Source organism: Homo sapiens, chromosome 15 (genome assembly GCF_000001405.40).
Source record: "Homo sapiens chromosome 15, GRCh38.p14 Primary Assembly".
NCBI classification, from domain to species: Eukaryota; Metazoa; Chordata; class Mammalia; order Primates; family Hominidae; genus Homo; species Homo sapiens.
In genome coordinates this window covers 53,103,943-53,114,646 of record NC_000015.10, presented here as the reverse complement: position 1 = coordinate 53,114,646, position 10,704 = coordinate 53,103,943, and the positions used below count along the sequence as shown (strand labels likewise).

The 10,704-nt window shown below is 38.8% G+C and overlaps 1 long non-coding RNA gene across 5 annotated transcripts in view; it reads right to left on the bottom strand.

Moving 5' to 3' along the window:
• Positions 1 to 10,704, bottom strand: part of LOC107983981 (uncharacterized) — a 417,903-nt gene that overhangs the window by 107,008 nt on the left and 300,191 nt on the right. The gene's annotated exons all lie outside the window — the stretch shown is intronic.

Genomic DNA, 10,704 nt, shown 5'->3' with positions numbered 1-10,704 from the left:
AAACTATAGAGCATGAGAAGTAAGATCATTTACCAGGCTCCTGCTGGATTGTTTTTAAGAGGGGATTTCAAATCATTCTGTCTTAAGTTCCTATCCCTTTTTCTCTGCCTGTTAGATCCTTACCCATTCTGTGACGCTAACTTAAATGCCACCTCCAAGAAGGCTTTCTCCACCCTACCAGAATGCTTCCAGGGTACTTTATTTCCCGTTCATGTATCAGCAACTGCCTTTTCTGGTAATTATTTGTTCAAATCTTATATAGTCTACCAGATAAGCAACTTGAGAGTTAGGACCAGGTATTTTCCGTATTTACACCTCAGGCCATTGCAAGCCATTAAATATTTGTTGACTAGATACATGGTGAAAATCATCACTTTTATTATCAGGTTTAGGATAGCAGGGTCCTGAAAGTTCAGGGAAAATTTAGTTGAAATGGGTTTTTGTGGTCTAGCTTAGGCATGAACTACCTTTTAAAAGCCTATTTTCCTGGGAAAAAAATCTAATTTACAAGACACCTTGTGTATGAATTGGGTGAAGATAAAAGCACACTGAGTCAGAATTAGCTCAATATAGAGTCAATCCCTAAAATAAAAGTAAGGCCTTTTCTGCCTTTTTCAATGACAAAATAATCATATTCCTTGTGCTTCATAAGCACTTCTTACATCCAGGCAGAGAGAAAACCTAGGAGGTTGGGTGGAGCTGTTTCTCTCTTCCTCTCACAGGAGTCCACTCTTCATTGCCTTTTAATTTTTACTTACAGAATCGTAATTAACTCTCAGCAAAATGAGTCACCAATATTTAGCAAGTAGTTTTATGGCACTGTCAAATTGGTTTTATGGCACTGTCAAATTTTGACTTTGTGTACCCTGAAGTGTTTGTCAAGCATGAACATTTAATAAATATGTAGGTACTCACTAAATGGTGCCTGATAGGCATTGCTCACTTTTGCCCAACGCAGACAACTGGCATGGCATTCCTTCAGGGTTATTAGCAAAGATTTCTATGGCAACTTAAGGTTGGGGCTTTTAGTTCCACATCTACAAAACTTAATATTTTCTCCTGGATTCTATCCCGACAATTCTTTTTGTTTTGTTTTGTTTTGTTTTTGAGGTAGGGTGCAGTGGTTTTGTTTTGTTTTGTTTTTGTTTTTGAGGTATTTTTGTTTTGTTTTGGAGTGTTTTGTTTTGTTTTTGAGGTAGATCGTGCAGTGGCACGATCACAGCTCACTATAACCTCTACCTATCTAGGCTCAATGATCCTCCCTCCTCAGCCTCCAGAGTAGCTGGAACTACAGGAGCACACCACCACGTGTGGCTAATTTTTGTGTTTTTTGTAGTGATGGGGTTTTGCCATGCTTCTCAGGCTGGTCTCAAACTCCTGGGCTCAAGCAATTCGCTCACCTCAGCCTCCCAAAGTGCTGAAATTACAAGCATGAGCCACTGTGCCTGGCCCTATCCCTACAATTCTAGCAGATTATCTCCAGGAGAAAAGTGTTGCCTTAGATCAGCTTTCCTCAAAGTGTTTCAGTGATGTTAACAGTTAATACATAGAAAATGAGCCAAATGAGTTTGAAAAATACAGTACTGAATTTAGCAAAATTAAGCAGATTAACTTACTTGGGGACATCACAGAGCCTTTAACACAATAGTGTTCAGTGTGAATCTCACAAACATTTCTCAAGAAACTTGTGTTCTGAACGTATATTTTAGAAAATGCTGCCTTATAATATGGCTTGCCCTGGTCTTTCCCCCAACTGCCAAAGACTAGTGTAAAAAGCAAGGGTGAGTGATGCCAATGTTATTTTAATACTTTTTCTATAAATTATGTCATAAAATGTGATGACTTTCTCATTACAAAAATTTGCAGAACACTCATCAATACTTTAAAAAGAATCAAACTCCTCAGCACCACAAATATTTTCTGACCACCATCAACTTTTGTTCATCATGCTTAACCTAACTTTCTCCCTAAATCTTTTCTTAAGAGTTTATTATTATTATTGTAACTGTCCTTTACGGAGTTTTTAATATGTTCTAGGGACTGGGCTAAATGCAGTTCTTAATCCTCAAACCCTATGAGGTGGAAACTTTTACTAAGAAAACTGAGACTCAGACAACTCACCAAAGTAAATGACAAGGCCAAGATTCCAGGCCAGGTCTCCAGAACTCTAGGGTCCATGCCATAGTCACTGGGAGGCACAGCCTCATCACTATGACTCTGTAGATATATATGTGCTGTTCTCATGGGCTCCCATGCCCAGCTGCCCTTGTGTCCACGTAAACACATGCCAACCAAAGCCCTCCAGGAGGCTGGATGTCAGTTCCTTCTTTGAATATCTCCTTATAGCTAATCAAAGGGATAGGTGTTAGTTAACTAATTAATTTCCCACTTCGTTCTGAGTTGCTGTATTCTCATGGACTCCCTCTAGCACACTGGAGTAAAAGAGAGGTGGCTTTCATGCTCTTGCCAAGAGAGGCAGAATAGAGTTTAGTCACCAAAGATTTAACTTCGCATCTACTGCATTCTCTCTCGTAGACAGAAAAAACATCACAGAGAAAAAGCAGTGCATTCCTGATGTCAGATTCCCCACGACATTTTCCCCATTTGGATTTCTCTCCCTCTCCGTCCCTATAGATAATCCTTGGTAACTAGGACAGGGTTCATGTTTAATAGTTGACCAAGTGCTGTGGCCTCAGCATTTTACCACCTGCTTTCACTAGCATCCTGATCGTCTTCTTCCCTGAACTTTTAAAATAACATTTGAACAAAAAGGACAATGTTTCTTTTTTCTTGCCAGACACCTAGGCATTTCCTCCTACTGCTTTGTTTGCATGTTATTCTTTAATCAACAGGTCATGCTACAATTGCATTATCCAATTTTACATGTGAAGAAATGAGGCACATGGGAACCCACAAGGATCGTAATAGTGATAACTTTTCAGGCTGTTCAAGCAGGAAAAGGAGGAAAGAAATATCCACAGTGATGTTAGGTCTGCCTTTTCTGTGTTCTCATGTTAGATCCTCTTCCTCAGCTCCTAGGAAGATTGTTGCAACTCCCTGCACCCAATTACAAAATTATAGTCAAGACTTAGACACAAACTCTTTGATGAAATATTCTCCAAAAACAAAGTAAATTTAACTTGCTGTCGAATAAGAGCTTTACTCCACGAGTTAATAGTACTAACTTTTAAAAGTGAGTTTGTTTACATGTCGTTGGGATTAAACCACCACCTTGACCTCTGTTTATTCATGTCTTCTGATTCCAGTGTTACTCAGACATTGTGGCCCTTTATGTGCCAGAGAGTAATAACATTGGGCTTCAACTCACACGTCCTCACATCTCTATCTGGCCAATTCTCTTGGGGTCAAATATCTTGAGAGCTGAGTGTATGTGAGGCAGTGGGGAGACAAATACCTCTGAGAGATAAGACAAAGACCCTGCATGTGGAGGTTATTTGCTCTTTCCGAGAGGCGTTATTGTCAAGTGAAAACAGAATGCAATCCAGGGACAAAGCACACCTGGTTACTTGCAACCCAGTTCTACCACCTACCAGCTTCATGACCTCGGGCAAATTATTTAACCTTTCTGAGTCTCCAATTCCTCACCTGTGTAATTATAGTTCCTCTATATACCTTATTAAACAAAGGTTTTAAGAATAAAATTTAATAACACGTATGAAAATTTCTATCACACTGCCTGCCACATAAGAGGTAGTTAATAAATATTACCTCCCTTCATGTCCCTCATCTTCTTGAGTGTAAAGTAACTAGGTAATAACAATATTTTGTCTCAAAAGAACTTGTGAGAAAATATTGTGAGAATACTTACAACATAGTAAATATTCAACAGTGATAAAAATAATAATAAGACCAGCAGCTACCATACCATCATTACCTACTGTGTTAGTCCGTTCTCACACTGCTGAAAAGAACTACCTGAGGCTGGGTAATTTACAAAGGAAAGAGGTTTAATTGACTTACAGTTCTGCATGGCTGGGGAGGCCTCAGGAAACTTACAACCATGGTGGAAGGCAAGGGGGAAGCAAAGCACCTTCTTCACAAGGCGGCAGGAGAAAGAGCGAAGGAAAGTGCCACACTTTTTAACCATCAGATCAGATAGTGAGAACTCCCTCAATACCACGAGTACAGCATGGGGGAAATGACCCCCATGATCCAATCGCCTCCCATCAAGTGCCTGCCTTACCATGTAGGGATTACAATTCGAGATGAGATTTGGGTGGGAACACAGAGCCAAACCATATCACCTATTATCATTTTTTAAATTGAAATGTTTTCAGGGCACACCAGCCTGATGGCCTGAGTGGATCATGCCTCATGTGTGTCCTCATATGCCTTTATTCCTGGTGGAGGGGATGGGAAGCAGGTGAGGGACACGTTTATTTTAACATCACTTAAGTCTCAGGAGACTTTCCTTCCTAGGGTCTCTTCTACTCCAACCTAGTTTTCAATCAGGTTAACTAGAAAACCAGGATAAGGGATTTTAAAATCTGATATCTGACATGTGGCTCATGTCACCCACCCACATTTCCTTAGGATAGTTTGGCCTTCTGAGGTTTGCACAACCAAAGGCCCTGTGGTCACATGGCTTCTCTTTGGTCCCAAGTCACTGTGCTTGGTTTGATTCATCTACTACAGACAAATAAGCTCATCTAGTCTCTGTCTCACTTCATGTTTACATGTAGTAATAGACAAAAATTCATGTACGTTGTTAATTTTTAAATTAGTATAATCTTCCCGTGGTATTTCATTTGAAGTTAGCACAAAAATGCTTTCGTGTCGCCCAGTAGTACTATTTTTTTATATACATTTAGGCTAAACTGTCACAAAAGAGTAAAATATTATTTGAAGGTAACTTCACTTGAAAAATGTACCATCTTATTCGTGAATTCTATCATCATTAGACCATTATTGTCCATGCTAATGTCATCCTGTGTCTTTCTATACCCTCTTTCTGAGACAGACTACATGCAGGACTCCTCTTCTGGAGCCGAGATGAAAACATAGCACTATTTTATCCAAGATTTTAAATGCCTGGAAATATTGATCCAGCCTGCTAGCCTACTCAGAAGGATGCTGCACTTGCTGCCTTGTGCTTAGAGACAATCTAATAAAAGCTTGCTGAATAATAAACAATGGGAGCCCACCAATTCTAAAAATTTAGATTGACAGGAATAATCCCCTCCCTGGAAAAGACAGACCAGCGGGCGCTTCCCATAAACCCATTACTGCCCACTCACTCATAAGCCAATAGAAGATGTTGGGTTATTGGAACTCCTAGCTTTAAGAGAAATTGCTTTCCTAAATTTGACTTCCCACACTAAATATAAAATATGGACCATCTGTAATGAAGGGATTGCAGCCCAAACAGCCATCATCTCCTGAGGCAGAGGTTAGAAGGTTGATGCACATTGGTTCCAAAGGGATGGGGATGGGGATGACCTTTTACCTTGAAAATGGTCACTTGGAGCTGTAATGTGAGAGAGGGAGGTCAGGTATTAGCCAGTAAAGTGTCTCCAAAGCTTCTGCCTTGTTAGATTCTTACACGAGGTGGGGTGGGAGAAGCCACAAAAGCAATATGAGAAAACAGCATCAATTCTCATAAACATGAGAATGTAATACAGAGGAAATGGGAAACTGGATATACCTCAGACAAGGAATACATTTCAAAGCCTTTCAAAATAAACAAGTAACTGTAGGTAAAAGACAAAGGATTTGGAAAGGAAACAATTTTATATTTACTTGTGACACACTTTTGACCATTTGATTGGCGTGTCAGTGCTGCCACTTGTCTCCAACCTGCAGGCAAAGCATAATTTCTTCTAGGCTGATTCTTTTACAGAAAAACACCTTATAAAAACAATTTCTGGAGTTCAGCAAAATTCCCATTGTCCATGTCTGAGATTTGTTTAATTCTAACAAAAAAACTATGACAGCAATGGAAGAGTAGCTCCAAAATACTGAATGCTTTGTAAGCAGTAGCTTTTAGAACAAAAGGGAGGAGACTGCAGATCAAAGATTTCCTTTGAGAACGGAGTGCCTCATTCAAGACAGGGTGACATTATACAGGAATCTGAACTGAATATGCAGGAGGGGGACACCACAGGCTGATGGGAAGTTCCAAGGTGGAGTGCATTAATGCAGGATCAGATCAGGAGGATGGTTTTAATAAACACACAGGAACTTACACATCCGTCAGCCTCCTGGAGGCTAGCAGCAGAGTTCTGGAGTTCTCATTTCAAAATATAAGTGAGGAAAAATGGAGGCTGCCTGACTTTAGGTTTTGTCATAATTGACATTTTGGGAAGACAAGATTGACCTGATTAATCATGAATAAAAATTGAATGTGATACTTCTCTCTTTTATCTCAAAAAGAAGTCTTTCCCACTCAGCTCTCTTAGGCCGTCTCTCCTAGGCCACTCAGTTTTTAGCAAAACGATTCTCAATGCACAGCATACATGGAAATTAAAGTTCAAAGAAAGAAGAAACAATTAATAGCTGTTCCAGTTAGTAGAACCTTCATCGGCTTGGTATGAGAAAGAAAAATGACACAGTAATATTGCCACTAGCAATTCCTAAGTCATGTGATTTTTTTTTTTTTTTGGAACAGATCAATGTTGGTTGCCAAGCAACACACACACAAAAAGAAAAAAGAAAAAGAGAAGGAAACATTGTTATGTTTTGATAAATTTCCTTTATTAGAAAATTCATGGATTTCATACTGATATTATCATTATAATTCTTTTCAAGCTTTGTGTTACCTTAAAGGGGGATCAGCTTCATTAATTGAGAATGACTTTGGTGAACAATGGACAATGTGCAAAATATACTTGGCAAATAAATAGTGAACTTTAGAAACAAGAGCTGAAAATTCATAGTTGCCACCTTGGAGTGCTTTATTAATGATATATGTATGTTTATTAATGAGTTCATTGCCTTTGTGTCACACTTATGTCACCATCAAATATTAATGTTTTCTATATTATAATAATATCTATTGATATAACTGAAATTTGCTTTCCAGTAGATGTCACCATGAATAATACTTCTGAAATACTAAAATCAATAAGAAGAATATTAGGGGGGCATTATAGTATGTCAATGAAAAGAATTCCTCTTAAACGCTGCATGTAACATAAACCAGCTAAATATACCAAGTTACAATTTTAAATACATAAATATAGAAATTACAGATATAGATCTTATAATATGCAACATTACATTGCCTGAAATAATAGAATAAAGCTACCAAATGAATGAAAAGAGGCTCTGTGGATTCTCTAATTTAAAGTCAAGCTCCTTCTCATTGTTGGAATTAATAAGCATCCGTTTCTTTCAGCATGACAGAAGATCATGTAGACATGAGGTAGACTAAGTGGTTCAAATAAATCCTAAATTCATTTACCCTTGGATAAGATGGCCGCTGTTCCTCCCTCCACTCACTCCTCCCACAATTGCAAGCTCTTGTTCAGAAGCCATTTTTTATTCACTCCATGTTGCGCAGGATTGGACAGTGTCTGTGCGAACAAGGGACCTTCCCAGTGAATACCAAGGCAGAAATGTTCACCCGGCTCCTGGGGCTCTGAGCAGAGGCAACTGTCAGGGCAGCTGGGAGTCTGGCTGTACTATCTGGAGATCAATAGAGCACTTCAGCCTAGCGCTTTACAGAGCTACTAATAAAGACAGAGGGACAGCAGCCTTCCATAACTAAGGGAGAAAAACCATGAGTATTCAAAAGACGCACAACCCACCTAGATGCTGGTTAAGTGTGAAATTATCTATTTCATTGTTTTTTAATTTCTCTCATAGGCAAGCCTGTCTGGGATAGGCAAAACAAAAGCATGTTCCCCTGATTACTTCTTGCTTTATGTAGCCTTGGACTGCCCTCAGAGGTCCTCACCCTACTACATTCTGCTGAAACTTGCTTGAATGTCATTGCTCACACTTGGACTAATCCAACGGCAATTCCCTCTGGGCCTGTCTAGCTCATCTGACAAAGTCAAGGTGTATCACTAGCATAATGATTGAACATGTACTCCTCCTGAATCATGCAATAATTCTAGAATTGCTGCTGTCTTAATCCAGAGTATCTATCAATAGTAAGAATTTCAGACCCCATTGTTAGTCAACAGGAATGCAGACTGGACATCCTTCCGCTCCAACATCACAGGACGTTGCCTGTTTTACTATGTGCAGGGGAGGGTTAACTGTAACAGCTAACAGTGCCAGGGGCTGTTCTAAGCACTCGACATGTATTAGTTTTCTAATTTTCATAATGACTCTACAAGATAGGCCCTGTCTTTGCATTTTACAGTAGAAGTGATTGCTCAGGGTTCCACAGCTTGTAAATCTGGGCCAGAAATGTGAACCCTGCGCATCTGGCTCCCAACCCCAGAATCTTACTCATTACCCAACAGCTGCCTCTCACAGACTGTCACACCATAAGGGGCTCCTTCTTGATATTTGTAGCTAGTTTCTAGCAGGATAACAACTGGGAAGCTGCCCTGATTTGGACCCTCCTGTAGTAACTTTTTTTTTAAATTTTGTCAATCACCTAGTTCAGAGATTACTGATTACCTCAATGTCTGTTGCTCTGAACATTCCAAGAACCACAAAAAGAATTTGTTAAGCAGGTTGGAAACAATACCTAGGAGCACTGCACTGTCTCTTCAAAGATCCTCTCTCAGACCCAAGCCTCAGGCTCACCACCTTCTAGGCAAGCTCTACCCTGTTGGTTATCTTATCATAATCTTCAAGAAATCCTGCTAAGAAGTCTCAGGTGTCCATGGTGTCCCTGGTCACACTGGCCAGCCTGGCCTCATGTTCCATACTGGGCACCCTCTAGCCATTAGCAATCTGAAGGGAGCTAGGAATTATGCCCATGTTTTCTGTAAGAAATGTATGAATGTGGCTGTTAAACGATTATCTTCAGGGAAAGAGAAACAAATATATTTATCTAATAGAACTGGTTCTTAAATTTCAGTGACCATTGGAACCACCTGAGGCACTTATTAGAATCACAGACCCACCTCACTTCCATCCCCTCCTAGAAAATTCTGACTTGATAGGGCCCAGGGATTCACATTGTTAAAAGACAGTCCACTGACGTTACTTCCAGGACAGCTGCTCTGTCGTTTATCCTGATTTCCATTTCAGCACTTGCCCCTGACTACTGAGTCTGTGTCCCTGGGCTCAGAACAGACTAAAATACACACACACATGTATACACACACACACACACACACACACACACACACACACACACACACGCACAAAATAAAAAAAAATAAAAAAAAAAATTTTGAAACTCTTACTTGTTCTTAACACATTATCTACTTCAAACCTCCAAGGCCAGAGAGGGTAAGTGATTCTCTCAAGTAGATCTTAAACCATATCTTTCATGTTTTACTTCTTTCCTCTAACACATACTACCTCCCTTCTCTAAGGTATTCTGAATAAGGAATAATAAAACATGTATTTTTGCATATATAAAGATAACATTTATTGAAAAGTTAGAAAATTCTGTAAAAGCCTGGCCACACTTTTACAGGATCAAAAGAATCACAGATTTTTAAAATAAATATATAATCCAGAGGTAATAAAAGTATCTATTTGGTGTCTTAACATTAGCCATCCTGATTCCTATGCTAATTTCTTACCTTGTGTAGGAGGACACTAAAAAAAAAAAAAAATCTGTATGTGCCTCAGTTTATCTTTCATCAATACAATACACAGGAGCATTGTAATCTAAAGATTATAATCAGCATTCAAAAAACTCAAAATAGAAACATATTTTCACCTTCAACAAATAATTATGTATGAAAATCAAAAGTTTTCAGGAAAGGTCATTGAAGTGATTCTTTTTTCTCATTACAAAAATATTAACCACAACTCCTTGAAGAAGCTTCCCTAAAGTATGTCAAGTATGATGTATCTTATGGAAACGTTTCTTTAAAGCAGCCATTCCCAAGGTTGTATTTTATATTATGGCTAAGTGGAAAGCAAATGTATTCCTCTTGGCAATTTTAGCAAAAAAAAAAAAAAAAAAAAAAAAAAAAAAACAAGTCACAGAGGTTATCATTATGTAACATCAAATACTTGGATAAAAACTAGAGAAATTCAGCCATGTATCCAAATAGTTGGTATAAACTATACTAACATGTAATAGTTAAAAGGAATTTGCTAATTCATTTGTTTCATTTAGATTGAAGCAGCAATAACTAACATGCTTATCATGAACAAAGCACAGTGCTAGAAAATTTGGTATTGGGCATATGCAGCAATTAAAGGCCAACCAAGTGTCAAACATTTCTAGGTTTGGTACATAGATGGGGAAGGAAGAAAACGGGAGTAGAAAAATTTGTACCTAGAAACTATTATGGTACCAGAACTAGAAATACATAATTAATGCTTAAGAATTACAATGATGAGAACTATATCAAATGACTGAAGGAGAGACCAATGCATTACTAAATAAAGAATTTTCTAGTTTGTTTTTATTTTTATTTTGTTGTTGTTGTTGTTGTTGTTGTTGTTGTTTTGTAAGATGGAGTTTAGCTCTTGTCACCCATGCTGGAGGGGAATGGCGTGATCTCGGCTCACTGCAATTTTCGCCTCCTGGGCTCAAGCCATTCTCCTGCCTCAGCATCTTGAGTAGCTGGGATTACAGGTGCCCATCACCACGCC